Source organism: Homo sapiens, chromosome 1, assembly GCF_000001405.40.
Source record: "Homo sapiens chromosome 1, GRCh38.p14 Primary Assembly".
Taxonomy (NCBI): Eukaryota; Metazoa; Chordata; class Mammalia; order Primates; family Hominidae; genus Homo; species Homo sapiens.
This window is the reverse complement of record NC_000001.11, coordinates 231,563,417-231,582,566: the sequence shown is the minus strand read 5'-3', so window position 1 is coordinate 231,582,566 and position 19,150 is coordinate 231,563,417. Positions and strand designations below refer to the sequence as shown.

Below are 19,150 nucleotides of genomic sequence, written 5' to 3'. Positions count from 1 at the left end.
AAAGGCATCAATTCCTCTTTAGTTTAGCTGTATTTATACATGTGCATATATACCTGTACACACACACACACAGAAATGAGATTAGAAAGACATGGAGTAAACATAATGCTAACAGTAGTTATCTCTGTAAGCAGAATTATAAAAGTTTTTTTTTTTTTGCCTCTAGGTTTTTCTATAATGTGCATATAAAAATTAAGCAAAAAATATTTTTCTTTCAAAAATTTGACTATCAGATCTGGCAACATGGAAAAATGACCTAAAGTACAATGCCACATACTATAAACACAAAGAAATAACAGATACAAGGAAAATAGAAAGAAAAGCAAATCCCTTAGCAACATGGAAGGAATACAGATTGGGATGCACGTTAATTAACAAAGCAGCTGCTCACAGTTGAAGGCAAGGTGGAGATGAGGTCAGTATTCCCTGATAACAAACCAGACAAAGATGAATACTAACACAAAAATCCTCAACAACATACTAGCAAACTGAATCCAGCACATAAAAAGGATTATACGTCATGACCAAGTGAAATTGATCCCAGTCATGTGATATTTGAATATCCCATGTCAAGAGAAGAAAGGACAAAAACTGTATGATCATTGCAACAGATGCAGAAGCACATGATAAAATCCAACAATCTTTCAGAACTGTAAATTATCTGGGTGATGGGGTGTGTGAAGATCATCTGTGTTATACTGTAATAGCTGCTAGAGTAATCTCACACACACCAATAAGGAACTGTCACCATAATTAAGGGCTAGTTACTGTTGTTAGTTGCACAATGATGAAGTTCTTTTGAAAATATTGGTTAGCCCACTTATATGTGAAAAATGCCCTTTCCACTTATACACAAGAAAAAAATATTCAGAAAGTTATTTTTGGCCTTGCTATGTCAAAAAGTCAAGTGTACAAAGATCTATGTGTTAAACCTAAAACTATAATTTTAAAAGTCTATTAAAAACAAAAATGTCATGCATTTTTATTATCAGTTATGCAGAGGCTTTAAAACTGTTGCAAGACCATACAGTATATATTAGCTTTTATACTGCCAATGCACAACTAACAGCTATAAAGTATTACTGATAAAAAATTAAGATTACCTAAGGAAAAAAACAGAAAATTATTTAGTGTGGCCATCTTACATGCTTAGGTCTCCTACACAAAGCTAAATATTCTAGCAGTGATGTAATGAAAAATTACATCTTACTGTTGATATATGTATGCTCTGGGACACAGATGTCATTTTGTTGTCACAGCACTACAGTGAAATACACAAAAAATGAAATTCATATAATGACTTAAATGTATTATATGTTAGAATTGACAACATAAACTAATTTTGCTTTGAAATGATGTATGCTTCAGTAAAATCATATTCAAATTAAAAAAAAATCCAACAGTCTTTCATGATAAAATGCTCAACTAACTAGGACCGGAAGGGAACTTCCTCAACCTGATAAAGGGTATCTATGAAAAACCCACAGATAACATCATAATTAAAAGACTAAAAGCTTTCTCCCTAAGATCAGGAACAAGACAAGGATGCCTGCTTTTGCCACTTCTGTTCAACATTGTACTGGAGGTTCTAGACAGAGCAATTAGGTTAGAGACAAAAATAAAAGGCATCAAGATTGGAAAGGAAGTAAAGCTATCTGTATTTGCAGATGACATGATTTTGTATGTAGTAAACCCTAAGGAATCTGCTTTAAAAAAAAAAAACTATTAGAATAGGCCAGGGGTGGTAGCTTACGCCTGTAATTCCAGGACTTTGGGAGGCCAAGGCAGGTGGATCACTTGAGGTCAGGAGTTCGAGACCAGCCTCGCCAAAATGGTGAAACTCTGTTTCTACTAAAAATACAAAAATAAGCTGGGTGTGGTGGCGTATGCCTGCAGTCCCAGCTACTTGGTGGGGCTGAGGCACGAGAATTGCTTGAATCAGGGAGGCGGAGGTTGCAGTGAGCCAAGATATCACCACTCCACTTCAGCCTGGGTAACGGAGTGAGACTCTGTCTCAAAAAAACACAAACAACAACAACAACAACAAAACTAGGCTGGGCACGGCGGCTCACGCCTGTAATCCCAGCACTTTGGGAGGCTGAGACTGGCAGATCACCTGAGGTTGGGAGTTCAAGACCAGCCTGACCAACATGGAGAAACCCCGTCTCTACTAAAAATACAAAAATTAGCCGGGCATGGTGGCACATGCCTGTAATCCCAGCTACTTGGGAGGCTGAGGCAGGAGAATCACTTGAACCTGGGAGGTGGAGGTTGCAGTGAGCCGAAATTGTGCCATTGCACTCCAGCCTGGGCAACAAGAGTGAGACTCCATCTCAAAAACAAACAAACAAACAAAAAACTATTAAAATAAACAAGAACACTGCCCATGAATGTTCACAGCATTATTCATAAGAGCCAAAAAAGTGGAAACAACCCAAATGTCCATCAACTGATGAATGAATAAAGAAAATGTGGTGTATCCATATGACAGAATATTACTCGGCAATAAAAAGAAATGAAGCACTGATACTCGCTGCAACATGGATGAACCTTGAAAACGTGCTAATTGAAAGAAGCATGCTAGTTGAAACATGCTCACTGAAAGAAACATGCTAGGCCGGGCACGGTGGCTCACGCCTGTAATCCCAGCACTTTGGGAGGCCGAGACGGGTGGATCACGAGGTCAGGAGATTGAGACCATCCTGGCTAACACGGTGAAACCCTGTCTCTACTAAAAAATAAAAAAACATTAGCCGGGCGCCGTGGTGGGCAGCTGTAGTCCCAGCTACTCGGAAGGCTGAGGCAGGAGAATGGCAGGAACCCAGTAATTGAAAGAATGGAATTTTATGATTCCATTACATGAAATGTCCATAACAGGCAAATATGTACATATAGAAAGTCGATTAGTTGTTGCCTAAGGCCACGGGGGTGGGGGGCGGTTAAGGGTAATTGAGAGTGGCAGGTAATGGATACTGGTGTCCAAATTTTGGTGGCATCAAAATTTCTCTATAAAAAGGACAACATACTCTCAACCATAGACCAGGAGAAGCTATCAGTAAAGAACTACAAAAAGGAGAGAAGGGGGAAAGAGCAGTTTGGAGAAAGACAATCTAATAGAAAAATGTCAAGAATATAAGGGCAAGTAATATATAGACAAAATCTGGGTGGCAAAAGTTTTCATTGTAAAGATATTCACTATTAGATTAAACCTCATTAAATTGCCAATACTTGATAGTTTTAGCTCACAAAAATGCGATCTCATATAGGTAAAATTAGTAGCAGTAGGAAAATTAAAAATTAAGCGATACTGTCAGCCAAATGTGGTGGCTCGAGTCCATAATTCCAACACTTTGGGAGGCCAAGGCGGGAGGATCACTTGACGTCACGAGTTCAAGACTAGCCTGGGCAACATGGTGAGACTTCATCTCTATAAAAAATAAGAAAATTAGCCAGGCACAGTGGCCTGTGCCTATAGTCCCAGCTACTAGGTAGGTAGAGGCAGGAGGATGGCTTGAGCCCAGGAGTCTGAGACTGCAGTGAGCTATGATCACACCACTGCGCTCCAGCCTGGGCAACAGAGCGAGACCCTGTTTCCCAAAAAAAAAAAAAAAACCATTAAAAATCCATTAGATTGACCATCAGGACTCACAAAATTATGTGGAAACATAAACTATTAGACAGTTGTAGAAGAAAGCTTAGATTGGTAAAAGCACTTTGGCAATATCTAATAAAGTGGAACATACGTATACCCCTAAGACCAAGCAACTTCACTCCTTCATAATCTTCCTAGAGAAATTCTTACATAGGTACACAAGGAGATAAGCCAAAGATATTGTATTACCCAGAGTTCTCCAGAGAAACAGAACCAGAACCAATAGAGAGAGAGAGAGAGAGAGAGAGAGAGAGAGTGTGTGTGTGTGTGTGTGTGTGTGTGTGTGTGTTTAATTATAAGGAATTGGCTCACAGGATTACAGAGGTTGAGAAGTCCCAAGATAGGCAGGTGGCAGGCTGGAGACCCAGGAGAACCATTGTTCAAGTCCAAAGGCCTGAGAACCAGAATAGCTGATGTTATTAATACTAAAAGCCACGAGGCTCCAGACCCAGGAGCTGATGTTTCAGTCTGAGTTTTTTTGTTTGTTTGTTTTTTGAGGCAGAGTTTTGCTCTTGTTGCCCAAGCTGGAGTACAATGGTGTGATCTTGGCTCACTGCAATTTCTGCCTCCCAGGTTCAGGTGATTCTCCTGCCTCAGCCTCCCAAAGTAGCTGGGATTACAGGTACCCGCCACCACGCCCAGCTATTTTTTGTATTTTTAGTAGAGATGGGGTTTCACCATGTTGGCCAGGCTGGTCTTGAATTCCTGACCTCAGGGGATCCACCTGCCTCAGCCTCCCAAAGTGTGGGGATTACAGGCATGAGCCACCACGCCCGGCCAGTCTGAGTCTTAAGGCCAGAAAAGACCAATGTCTCAAGCAGCCAGAGAAGAGGAGTTCCCTCTTACTTAGCTTTTGTGTTCTATTCGGGTCTTCGATTGATGAGCTGAGGTCCACCCACATTAGGAAGGGCAATCTGCTGTATTCAGTCTGCCAATCCAAATGCTAATCTCATCTGGGAACACCCTCACAGGCACACCCAGAGTAATGTTTGGTCAAAAGCTTGGGTGCCCGTAATCCAGTCAAGTGGACACATAAAATTAACCATCACAGATACTCACTTCAGTATTGTTTATAGTATCAAAAACTTGGGCCAGCCATGGTGGCTCACACCTGTAATCCTAGCACTTTGGGAGGCTGAGGCGGGTGGGTCATCTGAGGTCAGGAATTCAAGACCAGCCTGGCCAACATGGTGAAACCCCACCTCTACTAAAAATACCAAAAAAAAAAAAAAAAAAATTAGCCGAGCATGGTGGCAGGTGCCTGAAATCCCAGCTACTTGGGAGGCTGAAGCAGGAGAATCACTTGAACCCGGGGGACAGAGGTTGCAGTGAGTTGAGATCACACCACACCACTTCATTCCAGCCTGGGCGAAAGAGCGAGACTCTGTCTCAAAAAATAAATAAATAAATGAATAAATAAATAAATAAATAAATAACTTGGACATAATCTAATTGTCTATTTATTCTACAAATACTCACTAGGCACGCATATGCCAGGGACCATTCAACATGTTTGGGATACACCAGTGAGTAAAAAAGACAAACATTCCTCTCCTTGGCGAGGTTACATATTAATTAAAGAAGACAAACAATAAGCCTAATACATACGTATGGTACGTATTACTTACGTAATACAGGAAAGCTACTTTCCACAACTTCAAGGATACCATTCATATTATGTTCTATGTAAATGCCACCCTCTGCAAATACGTAAGGCAGTAGTGGGGTGGGGAGTGGGTGGCCAGTGACAATTTAAATTAGAAGATCAAAGTAGGCATTATTAAGTAGGTGACACAGCACAAACTTAAAAGAGATGAGGGAATTATTGTGCAGATATCTGGAGGAAAGAGCAAACCAGGTAGAAGAACCAGACTGTGTAAAGATCCAAAAGCTGGAGGCTGGTGAGACTGTGAAGAGAGCCAAGGGGAGAGGGTTACAATAAGATGAAGTGGAGCAAGGGGTAGATGATACAGTCATGTGGGCCACTGTAAGGACTTGTGGGCTTTTTAGTCTGAATGAATGAGCAGCCATTACAGAGGTTTAAACAGAGGAGCAAAGTGATCTGACTGCATGTTAAAGGGATCACTCTGGCTACACTTACGGGGAAGCAAGGATGGAAGCAGGAAGCCACTGCAGTAATTCAAGTGAGAAATGGTGATGGCTTGGGCCAGAATGATAACAACAGTGTTGGGTTCTAGATATATTTTGAATATAGAGCCTATAAAAATCCTGACAGATTGGATGTGGAATGAGAGTTAAAGAGAAGACTCAAGGATAACTCATATTATGCCTGATCACCTGGAAGGATGAAGTTGCCATCAACTGAGAAGCGTGTAACCCACGGAGCAGGGTTTTTAAAAATTTTTATTTATTTATTTTTGAGACGGAGTCTCGCTCTGTCACCCACACTGGAGTGCAGTGGTGGGATATTGGCTCACTGCAACCTCTGCCTCCTGGGTTCAAGCAATTCTCCTGCCTCAGCTTCCTGAGAAGTTGGGATTACAGGCATGCACCACCACATCCAGCTAATTTTTGTATTTTTAGTAGAGACAGGGTTTCACCATGTTGGCCAGGCTGGTCTCAAGCTCTCGACGTCAGGTGATCCACCCACCTCGGCCTCCCAAAGTGCTGGAATTACAGGCATGAGCCACTGTGCCCAGCCATGGAGCAGGTTTGAGGGGAGAAGACAAGCTGAGTTCTGAACATGTTTACTTTACAGGTATACTACACATTCATATGAAAATGCTGAATTGGGAATTAGGCATCTTGAGTTCTGAATTGGAAATTAGACAGGCATCTTGAAGAGATATCTGAGCTAGAGTTGTTCAGTGTATAGACAGTATTTTTTTTTAAATAGAGATGGGGCCTATGTTGCCTAGGCCAGATTACAATGGCTATTTACAGGCAAGATCATAGTGCACCACAGGCTCAAACTCCTGAGCTCAAGGGATCTTCCTGCCTCAACTTCCCAAGTAGCTGGGACTGCAGGTACACCACCACTCCCAACTAGATAGTATTTAAATCCATGAGACTGTATAAGACCACTAAGGGGTCTGATGTAGCTAGAGATGAGATTCAAGGATTGAGCCTTATTAGAAGGTTAAGGCCATGAGAAGGAACCAGTAAAGGAGACTGAGAAGCAGCTAGTGAGACAGGAGAAAGACCAAGAGTATGGTGTCTGGAAGCAACTGGAAAAGTGTCAAGGAGGAAGGAAGGGCCACCCATGTCAAATGCTGCTGACAGGTTGAATAAGATAAGGACAACAGCTTAAATACTGGACTACACAATAAAAGACATCTTGAGAAGAGCAGTTCTGATGAAATGTAAGAGACAAAAGTCTGAGCGAGTTCAAGAGAGAATGAGAGGAGAATCGGATTTGGAAAGTACATATATCTCAGGCTTTGTTGCAAAGGGGAGCAAGGAAATACAGAAGACAGTTGACAGTGAAAAGGGGAAGATAAAAGGGTTTTAAGATAGGCAAAATGAAAGTGTTTATATGCTAGCAGGGAGCTGCAATATAAAGAAAAAAAAATGATCATTCAGGATAGAAGTGAGAATTGCTACAGTAGTTCTTGAATAGGTAAGAGTAGGACCTAATTCACAAGTGGAGAGGTTGCCTTTAGAGAAAAGCACGAATACTGGTAGGCAAGAAGGCAGAGTCTGTGAGTGCAGGTGTTGGTAGGTCAGTAGATGTGATAAGATTGTGGAAATTCTCCCCCTTGTTACTTGGATTCTCTTAGCCATTAGCCAAAAGGGAGGGTGGGGAGGAGGAATGGGAGTTAGATGAAAGAGGAGACAATGTAAAATATGAAATAGTCATCAATGAGAGAGGAAGAATGAATAGACTAAGGAAACACAGAATTATGGTCAGGTAGTATTCGAGACCCACAAGAAATTCATGGTCATAAAGTTAAAATGGGGCCAGTCAGTGTGGTTGTCTATTTTTCCTTTATTTTCTTCAGTGTCAAAGGGGCAGGGAGTAGCTGGAGGATGGATTTAATCTGGGCTGTAGTTTTTCCAATGTGTATGATGAAGTAAGAGGGGAGTAAGGGAGTTGAAGACGTATGAAAGGAGTGGTAATGACTGCAATGGAATTGAAGCTAGGTTATAAAAGAGACTGCAGAGGGGTTAATGAGCAGATGAAAGGTAATAGGATCAACGGAGTTAAGGTCCCAATGGGGTCAAAGGACTGTTGAAGCTGGGATACTGGAAAGGGCTAAACTTGAAATATGAGAAGTGATAAACAGAATGGATGCATAAAATTGAGAATATGAATTGGTAATGTCAGGGTAATGGTAAGGTCTTGAGTATAATCATGAGAATGAGTAGCAGGAGCTACACTCATCAAGAAAGAAGAGTGTGGCCAGGCGCAGTGGCTCATGCCTGTAATCCCAGCACTTTGGGAGGTGGAAGCAGGTGGATCACTTGAGGTCAGGAGTTTGGGACCAGCTTGGCCAACATGGTGAAACCCCGTCTCTACTAAAAATAGAAAAATTAGCCATGAGCCATGGTGGCTCATGCCTGTAATCCCAGCTACTTGGGAGGCTGAGGCAGGAGAATTGCTTCAATCAAGGAGGCAGAAGTTGCAGTGGGACGGGATCATGCCACTGCACTCCAGCCTGGGCAACAGAAAGGAGGGAGAGTAGTCTGGGGTACATCAGATTACAGCAGAAGGGAAACTGATAAACTGGTCTTTCAGTTTATGTGAGTGCAAGTGATAAACCGATAAAATGATTTATCAATTAAATTGATAAATGGATTAACTAGAATTGTCAGCTAAAATGGATTAACTAGAATTACACACATTGATGCATATAAATCTCAAAAACACTAATATTGAATGAAAAAAATCAGTTGCAAAAAGATATGTACACTATTTATATGTAAATTTTAAAACCAAACAAAACATAAACTGTTAATGGGTAGACAGTTATACAGTAAAAACACGAAAATGTGTATCAGAAAAATATATATTTCAATTTCTAGTTGGTAGTTGCCTCTGGAGATGGCAGGGTTGGAGTCAGATTCCGTAACATTTTAATTCTTTAAAAATAGCCTGAAATAAATGTGGTTTTAAGAAGTTTAAAGCAACTAGTTGTGGATACTTAGGAAACAAAGTTTCCTGTGTATTCTCACTGTAAGCTCATGACCATGAATTTCTTGTGGGTCTCTTACAAGGCTTCATATGATCTAACTCAAGATCAGGAAGTGATTCCAGCAGCTATTCTCACTGTTTGCTAAAGTTTCTGGGCCGGGCGGGGTGGTTCACGCCTGTAATCCCAGCACTTTGGGAGGCCGAGGGGGTGGCTCACAAGGTCAAGAGATAGAGACTATCCTGGCTAACATGGTGAAACCTCACCTCTACTAAAAATATAAAAAATTGGCCAGGCGTGGTGGCACGCGCCTGTAGTCCCAGCTATTCGGGAGGCTGAGACAGGAGAATTGCTTGAACCAGGGAGGCAGAGGTTGCAATGAGCAGAGATCCCACCACTGCACTCCAGCAACAGAGCAAGACTCCATCTCAAAAAAAAAAAAAAAAGACAAAGTTTCTGGCTTCTCTGGTCTACCTTTCACAAACCTACATCTTTTTTCATCTCAAATCATCCTTAGAAAAGATTGAAACAAGATTAATAATAATAATACCAACATTATCTTTGGTTTTAAGCTCTTTACATCATAGAAAACCTAACAAATGTGCCACCTGTATTTTCAGGCTTGCTCACTGATTCCCTTTTGAAAGAAAGGGACCCAACAAACACTATTGTCAATTTGTATGTATTTTTCTAGAGATACTCTGTGCGTTTTAAAAACATACATATTTTTAATTTTTTTCACACAGTTGTGACATATACAAAATTTGATTTAGTTAAAATAGCTTGGATATCTTTTCATAACCATACATTTAGAGCTGTCTCATTTTTTTTTTTTGAGAAGGAGTTTTGCTCTTGTTGCCCAGGCTCGAGTGCAATGGCGTGATCTCAGCTCACTGCAACCTCCACCTCCCAGGTTCAAATGATTCTCCTGCCTCAACCACCCGAGAAGCTGGGATTACAGGTGCGTGCCACCACACCTGGCTGATTTTTGTATTTTTAGTAGAAACGGGGTTTCACTATGTTGGCCAGGCTGGTCTCAAACACCTGACCTCAGGTGATCCTCCCACCTTGGCCTCCCAAAGTGCTGGGTTTACAGGTGTGAGCCACCACGCCTGGCCTGTCTCATTCTTTTTAATGGCTTTACAGCATTTAATTTATAGTTATGCCATAAATTATCTAACTTGTTCTCCATGGAAGGATATTTATATTTCAGACTTTCTGATACTTGAAACAATGCTGTAATGAGTAGTTTTTGAATACATAAATTCACAAAGGTATGAATACACTTGGTAGATATTGCCAAAATCCCTCCATATAGATCAACATTGATTTCCACTTTTCACAGCAGCATGAGTGCCCATTTCTCCCAGGTCAACAGAGTGTTCTTGAGCTTCAAACTGTACCCCATCTGATAAAAGTGGTAATATAGTTTAAATCTGTATTTCTCTTATTATGAGAGAGATCAGCCATCTTTTCCTACGCTTAAGAACCATTTGTATTTTATATCTGAAAACTCTGTCAGCATTCAGTCAGGAAAACAGAAGGCACTCAAGTATTACACTCAGGAAAGGATTGAACCCAGGTGCTTCCAAAACACTGGAAGGGCTGGAGGAAAGGAAGGTCAGGGAAAGCTGCCAGTGAGTGCAGGAAATCAAGAAGTCGCAGGAATTGCAGGAAATCACAGCTGATGATCTCAGCTGCCTGCAGCACTGAAGCAGGTGATTAACAAAATGCAGAAGGTCCTGCAGAACCTCACGTATGCCGTCTGAACAAGCCTACATACGCCTGCCCGCTGGCTGAAGGAATAAGGGCTTGTTTCTCTTTTGCCTTCCAAATAGTACACGTGCCTCTCATTAGTAGAATGAAAATAAACCCTCTTAGCAAGAAAATCAAGGAAGTGTGGTTTCCAGGCTTCCAGCTCCTACAATAGAGTTTGGAAAGCAAGTCTGAAGTTGAGTATCAATGGCCAATGCCCAGCACAGTCCATCCTTTTGGTTACTTGGCACTCATACACTCCCTGCTAGCAAGGTTTAAACTTCCAAACATCACCTAATGTGACGTAATTGGGGCATGATAAACTTTTTGCTAAAGGAGACAGACAAAGTCCTGTCAGTTCCTATCTCCATCTCTGATATTTATTCCTTTTAGTGCAACACAACTCGCCTTTGCCATACTATAACTTGAAGGCTAAATTAAAAGGTTAACCAACACTAAACACCCTATATAAAAACAACAGAGCCGGGCATGGTGGCTCACGCCTGTAAACCCAGCACTTTGGGAGGCCGAGGCGGGCGAATCACCTGAGGTCGAGAGTTCAAGACCAGCCTGACTAACACAGAGAAACCTCGTCTCTACTAAAAATACAAAATTAGCTGGGCGTGGTGGCGCATGCCTGTAATCCCAGCTACTTGGGAGGCTGAGGCAGGAGAATCGCTTGAACCCGGGAGGCGGAGGTTGCAGTGAGCCGAGATCGCACCACTGCACTCCAGCCTGGACAACAAGAGTGAACTCCGTCTCAAAAAACAAAACAAAACAAAAACGAACAAACAAAAAAAAAACAGAGTAAAAAGGGAGGGAGGAAAAGACACAAATGGCCAATATATAAAATATACGTATTACAAAGCGAGGAGAAAATAAGCATTGTGGCTAATGTCCTTGTTTCTGCATCTACTCCTGAGGTGATAGTTGATATTTATGATTTCCTTCTACTACCCATCCTATGTTCCCTTTCTCTGTAGTCAAAACTTCAGTTAATTGAGGGTTTTATTTAACTGGTGGGTGACCCAAATCTTCATTCCTGAAGAGGCAGTGCCATTAGGATTCTGCCTGTTTGGTGTTGCTAGTCTTTTATCCATTTTACCTCCATACATGAAGTACTAAGAAGTGTCCCAGAGAAACTCCTGTGTGTGTGCATGTGTGTGTGTGATATCAGGTAGACAAAGGCAGCCTTAGAGGCTTTTGTGGGCATTATGGATATGGAAAAAAGTTTTGTATTTTGAGTTCTGTGTTTTTATGTCACCCAGATATTGTTCTGTCATGTTTCTTTCTTTTTTTTTTTTTATACTTTAAGTTTTACGTACATGTGCACATTGTGCAGGTTAGTTACATATGTATACATGTGCCATGCTGGTGTGCTGCACCCACTAACTCGTCATCTACCATTAGGTATATCTCCCAATGCTATCCCTCCCCCCTCCCCCCACCCCACCACAGTTCCCAGAGTGTGATATTCCCCTTCCTGTGACCATGTGATCTCATTGTTCAGTTCCCACCTATGAGAATATGCGGTGTTTGGTTTTTTGTTCTTGCGATAGTTTACTGAGAATGATGATTTCCAATTTCATCCATGTCCCTACAAAGGACATGAACTCATCATTTTTTATGGCTGCATAGTATTCCATGGTGTATATGTGCCACATTTTCTTAATCCAGTCTATCATTGTTGGACATTTGGGTTGGTTCGAAGTCTTTGCTATTGTGAATAATGCCTCTGTCATGTTTCTTAAAGCAACAGTTAGGATTTGGAAAATGCAACTGCTTATATTATTCAAAAGATCATTGACAATGGTTACAAACAAGACCTTCCCAGAAAAAAAGTAGACCAGTAAGGATGACTTTTATCTTAAAATCTGAAGATGATATAACTAAAAATTAACTATAGATAGTCCTTTTATTCTGCAAAGGCAAAAAAAAAATTTTTTTCTTGAGACATACAATTATATATAGATAGAAAATCAGAATATGTAATCTCTGAATTAAAATCAGTGTGACTCTATAAAATGAGAACTTTAGGGGAATGAGGTGCTACAACTATGGAACACTCGTTCAAGAGAACTTCATTCATTGTCTTAAAAACATACAAAAGAAAATCCAAATGCTACATAAATCCTGAGAACTGCTTCATCTAGTTAAAATCCTAATAGGTTTGGAAAGCCTTTGATGGTGCATGGGACCTTAAGAAATCATCTATGTGATGGCTAATACTGAATGTCAACTTGATTGGATTGAAGATTACAAAGTATTGATCTTGGGTGTGTCTGTGGGGGTGTTGCCAAAGGAGAGTAACATTTCAGTCAGTGGCTGGGAAAGGCAGACCCACCCTTAAATCTGGGTGGGCACCATCTAATCAGCTGCTAGCTCGGCTAGAATATAAGCAGGCAGAAAAATGTGAAAGGAGAGACTGGCCTAGCCTCCCAGCCTACATCTTTTCTGTTGTACTGGATGCTTCTCACCCTTGAACATTGGACTCCAAGTTCTTCAGTTTTGGAACACAGATTGGCTCTCCCTGCTCCTCATCCTGCAGACGGTCTATTGTGGGATCTTGTGATCGTGTGAGTTAATACTTAACTCTCTCTCTCTCTCTCTATATATATATATTCCATTAGTTCTGTCCTTCTAGAGAACCCTAACCCTAATACAATCTATACCAGGTGATTCTTAAGTCTTAAGTCAAAAATCCATTTCAGAAAGATATGAAAGCCATGAATGTTTCTCTATAGAGAAACACTCTAACGCTGGGGACGGTGGCTCACGCCTGTAATCCCAGCACTTTGGGAGGCTGAGGTGGGTGGATCACCTGAGGTCAGGAGTTCAAGACCAGCCTGCACAACATGGTGAAACCCCACCTCTACTAAAAATACAAAAACTAGCAGGGTGTAGTGGTGTGCGCCTGTAGTCCCAGCTACTCGGGAGGCTGAGACAAGGGTTCTTAATCTGGGTTCCAGCAACATAGTTTTAGAGCATCCATAGATGAATTTCAGAGGATCCATGAATCTCCTTACATTATATGCAAAATATAATCACATATGATTATGCATTATATATAATTGTGGGTATAGTCTATTGAATGAAGTATATTCCTGGGAGGCTGTGGCAAGAGGATCACTTGAGCTTGGGGGTCTGAGACCAGCCTGGGCAACATAGCAAGACCTTGTCTCTACAAAAAAGAAAAGAAGGCTGGGTGTGGTGACTCATACCTGTTATCCCAGCCCTTTGGGAGGCCGAGACGGGTGGATCACCTGAGGTCAGGAGCTCGAGACTAGCCTGACCAATATGGTGAAACCCCATCTCTACTAAAAATACAAAAACTAGCAGGGTGTAGTGGTGTGCACCTGTATTCCCAGCTACTAGGGAGGCTGAGACAGGAGGATTGCTTGAACCCAGAAGGCGGAGGTTGCAGTGAGCCGAGATCGCACCACTGCCCATTTTTACTTCTGTATGGTTGGTAGTAACGTTCCCTCGTTCATTCCTGATCTTAGTAATTTGAGTCTTTTTCTCTTCATCAGTTTAGCCAAAGGTTAATTTTGTTGATCTTCACGAAGAGTCAACTTTTGGTTTTGTTGCTATTCTCAATTATTTATTATTATTATTTTTGGATGGAGTCTCGCTCTGTCACCCAGGCTGGAGTGCAGTGGCTCACTGCAACCTCCGCCTCCTGGGTTCAAGAGATTCTCCTGCCTCAGCCTCCCAAGTAGCTAGGAATACAGGCACATGCCACCACACCCAACTAACTTTTGTATTTTTTAGTAGAGACAAGGTGTCGCCATGTTGGCCAGACTGGTCTCGAGCTCCTGACCTCAGGTGATCCACCGGCCTCGGCCTCCCAAGTGCTGGGATTACAGGTGTGAGCTGCCACACCCAGCCCTCAATTGTTTTTCTCTTCTGTATTTCGTATTTCTGCTAAAATCTTTATTACCTTTCTTCTGCTTCTTTTGTGGTTTACTTTGCCCTTCTTTTTCTAATTTCTTAAGGCTGAAGTTTAGCTTATTAATTTGAAACCTTCTTTAAATGCAGGCATTTAAAGCTATAAAGTTCTATCTCAACACAGCTCCACTGCATCCCATATGCTATTGTATATCAACTTTTTCTTTCCATTCACCCCCAAGTATTTTCTAATTTCCCTGTGATTTCATCTTTGATCCACTGGTTACTTAGGAGTACATTGTTTAACTTCCACCTATTAGTAAATTATACCACTTTCCTTCTATTGATTTATAGTTTCATTCCATTGTGGTAAGAGAACACATTTTGTATGATTTCAGTATTTTTAAGTTTATTGAGATGTTTTGTGGTCTGAAATTTTGCAAAGAATGTTTCATGTGCACTTGAGAAAAATATGCATTCTGCTGTTCAGTGGAGTGTTCTGTATATATGTCTGTTAAATCCAATTGGTCTACAGAGTGGTTCAAGTTCCTTACTGATCTTCTGTCATGGTGTCCTAGCCATTGGAAGTGGGGTACTGAAATCTACAATGATTACTGTTGAATTGTCTATTTCTCTCCACTTAAATTTTGCTTTATGTATTTTGGGGCTCTGTTAGAAATATGTGTGTACACGTATATACACACGTATATAATTGGTACGTATTCTTGATGGGTTGAGTGTTTTATTGTATGTTGTTTCTGGCAAAAAATAATTTTCTTGAAGTCTATTTTGTTGGATATTATTCATATAACCACTCTAGCTCTCTTTCGGTTATTGTTTGCATGGAGTATCTTTTTCCATCCTTTTACTTTCAATCTACTTGTGTGTCTGAATCTAAAGTAACTCTTATGTAGACATAAAGGGACTGAATTTTCAAATCTGTTCTGCCAATCTAATTTAAATATCATCTTTCTTTGAGACACCTTCAAAAAGCCCCAGCGCACTCAATGTGTACTTTAAAAATCACTGATGTAGGCTGCGCGCAGTGGCTCACGCCTGTAATCCCAGCACTTTGGGAGGCTGAAGTGAGAGGATCACTTGAGGTCAGGTGTTTGAGACCAACCTGGCCAACATGATGAAAATGCCATCTCTACTAAAAATAGAAAATTAGCCAGGCATGGTGGCATGTGCTTGTAATCCCAGCTACTCGGGAGGCTGAGGAAGGAAAATCGCTTGAACCCAGGAAGTGGAGGCTGAAGTGAGCCAAGATCATGCCACTGCACTCCAGTCTGGGCAATAGAGAGAGACTAAGTCTAAAAAAATAAAAAAATTCACTGATGTAATACATGCTGGAAATTATTTATGAAAGAACCCAATATTCTTTCAGAATTTTGTCAGTAACTTACCATGTGACCTAGAACCAGTTTCTTTTTCTATTAAAGATGAAAACTGTTACCACACATGATGCCATCATAGTAAGTATTTTTAAAAGTGAGACTCAGAGTTGGCGTAACACCCACAGTATTAGTATGACATGAACTGTGGAGATATATCAGTAGCAATGGCACCAACTCACCTGTAGTGAGTTGACTACAGGTGAGTTGCAAAACCAAAAAACCCACCATCACTAACACGAACAAACAAAAAAACAGAATTTACTAGGCATGTCCATGTTTTATTTTCTTTAGGTGTTTTTCTGGAAAATTACATTTTCAAGGAATCAGCCCTTACAAACAGAGCTAATCTTTCAAAAAATAAAACCCAGTATCTAGATTCTCAAAACTTACAAAACCAACTGGAAATGTCTGGTTGTCATGCTCAATTCAGTTTCACATCACAAGTAATCATCTATAACTATTTCAGTAGGCAAATTCCAATTCTAAATATTACTAACGATTACCATTGTTATTCTCAACTGTGTTGACAATTGTCTTATTGCTGAATTGTTCATAATACATCTTCTTTGGCAACTTTATTAACACCATGGGACAACTAAAGGTCTGGATTAACTTAGTATTTCAAAACTTCATTATAATTATTTAAAAGTAAATGCTAGACTTAAATTATTTAAATTTAAATGCTAGATTTAAATTATTTAATTTTAATAAAATTTAAATTTAAATGCTAGAATAGGAAAGCCTCCAAACATGCCTAATATAACAAAAACAAAAATTGCTAAATAATCACTACTAAAAGCATTTCCATTGTATGTACAAGTATATAACTCAACTTTACCAACAAAAATATTATAATTTAGCTCCAATTCTCTATCAGACCTACTGTGATTAAAAAAAAACAAAAAATAAATGGAGAAAGCAACATCTGGGCACCTGTCAAATTTTTATGGAAGGTTGTTTTATATAAATTTTAAATGGCTTAAAATCAGCCAGAATGCGAATTTTTCACTATAATACTTTATAAACTTGTACTTTCTTTTTTCTTTCTTTCTTTTTTTGAGATGGAGTCTTGCTCTGTTACCCAGGCTGGAGTGCAGTGGCGCAATCTCGGCTCACTGCAACCTCTGCCTCCCAGGTTCAAGCGAGTCTCCTGCCTCAGCCTCCCAAGTAGCTGGGATTACAGGCACATACCACCATATCCAGCTAATTTTTGTATTTCTAGTAGAGACGAGGTTTCGCCACGTTGGTCAGGCTGGTCTTGATCTCTTGACCTCGTGATCTGCCTACCTCGGCCTCCCAAAGTGCTGGGATTACAGGCGTGAGCCACCACGCCCAGCCTAAACTTGTACTTAAATTATATATTGATAGCTTATTCATTTTTAATTCTTGTTCCATGGAATAAGCCTATTTTTGAGGCTTGGCACGATATTAACAAGAAATTTAAACAGGACGCTCATGTCCAGAAGTTTAACTAAAAAATCTTTTCTATATATAATATAACTACCAACTTAAATTACAAATTGCTTCCACTAAAAATTATCACTCCAAACTTCAGAAAAAGTAAATTAAAATAGGTTATGGCAAAAGGTACACTCTGAAGCATGTTCACATTACAAAGATAAATGATAAAGGTTAACCAGCAAAAATTCAAAAAGGCATATATGCAAACATCTGTATGCAAACTTTCATGAATAAGATATAAGAAATGATTCATTTGGCTAATTTTATGTACAGCTTGTATACAATTTAAAACAAGTACAACTGAATATGTTTCTATGTAAAAGCCACAATAAAGTTAAATGAAATACTAAATAAGTCTTACAAATTGGTCTCTTAGGAGTTCTCAAAAGAATTAGTAACTGAGTAACGTTAGATTCTAAGAAATGCCCTCTTCTTGATCTATCATTTCTGTTTTAACTGAAAACACATCTGCCAACATATGTTTTGGAATTTCTGACCCTCTGACTTTCAAGGCATAACAAGCATTCTCCACTTTGGCCAAACTTTGTTTCAAGGTATACAGCTTCTTAGAAACCTCGTAAGGTCCAGTGTTGCCAATGAATGAAAACCCATCATAAACCTGACGTAAAAACTGGCTCACTTCAAAGGGGGTATCAATGTCCCCATTCCCCACACTGTTAATACACATCCGCATCAATTCTCCAGTTAAGTCAGCCACTCCCAGAAGGTAATCGACAGGTGTGACTCTCAGTCTCCAAGTACCAAACTGCTTATCCTGTGCATCAGAGGAGGGCTGGTAAAAAAACAAAACAAAACAAAAACACACACACACACACACAAGAAAGAACACTGTGAAAAAGAGTGAATATAGCATGTATCACATTTATTATAGAAGTACAAAATCAATAGCAAATCAGTCATACTAATTTTTTCTAAATAAAATAAATCTGTTTTGCTTAATAACCACTTGGGATGTTACAGGAGGAATGTGTGCCCTGGGTAGTGAAATGAACCAGATGACTTCAAGATACTTTTGAAATATATCATTATGAAACCAACTATTTCCAACTCCACTTGATGTACAAAATAAAAATATTCTTGAACAAGGCTTAATAACTTTATTGCACGACAATTACTTTCTTAAATGAAAAACCATACAGCCCTCCAAGTTTGTGATCCATTAATGTTTTCCTAAGAAGCTCAGTCTTTTTCTGGCTTCTTGTCTTTCCCTATTCAGCACTCACCATCACAATTTATTATTCTCTCACTGCATCCTCAATTCCCTTAGACTGCTATATTTTCTACTGCACCTACCCAGCAAAAACAGAATCCTCAATCAATACTAAAATATACTCATTAGTCCTTTATTCAGGTGGCTGAGTACCACTCACTGAGTTAAAAAAAAATGGTAATCACAACTGCAGAGTCTGTACCGCTACAAATTACTCTCCAATCCTTTTACTTATCATTAGATGGTTCTCTTTCCAGCCTCTTCAAACACAATTTCAAACCTTTCACCACTCTCCTCAGGGCTCTACTCAAATCCCAAACCTCTTCACTTTCAGTAGACAACCTTGCCCAATTTCAGTGACCTGGTCATTTGCCAGCTTACCTAGCACAATTTCTCACAACTGCCTTTATCCCTACCAAAAAAAAAAAAAAAAAAAATTTATATCCACACCCATCTTTACCTTCTATCCTCCAGTCTCAGATGATGAGTTGTCCCTCCTCTTGTTTGAGGTTAACTCTTCCAAATGACCTTGACCCATCTCCTCCCACCTCTTCCAGGACCTTGCTTCATAAGGTGTATGCCCTTGGGCAAGTTATTTCATCTCTCTAAACCTCAGTTTCCTCATCTGTAAAATGGGATAACAGTACCTACCTCAGAGGTTTATTTTAAGGGT

At 40.1% G+C, this 19,150-nt stretch overlaps 1 protein-coding gene and 1 long non-coding RNA gene across 9 annotated transcripts in view; both read right to left on the bottom strand.

The window, feature by feature from the left end:
* Positions 1-19,150, bottom strand: part of TSNAX-DISC1 (TSNAX-DISC1 readthrough (NMD candidate)) — a 512,620-nt gene that overhangs the window by 458,706 nt on the left and 34,764 nt on the right. The gene's annotated exons all lie outside the window — the stretch shown is intronic.
* Positions 16,043-19,150, bottom strand: part of TSNAX (translin associated factor X) — a 37,856-nt gene continuing 34,748 nt past the window's right edge. The window contains exon 6 of the mRNA NM_005999.3: positions 16,043-18,039. Within this exon, the coding sequence (NP_005990.1) occupies positions 17,662-18,039 (378 nt within the window). The 3' untranslated portion in view covers positions 16,043-17,661. The remainder of the gene's footprint in view (positions 18,040-19,150) is intronic.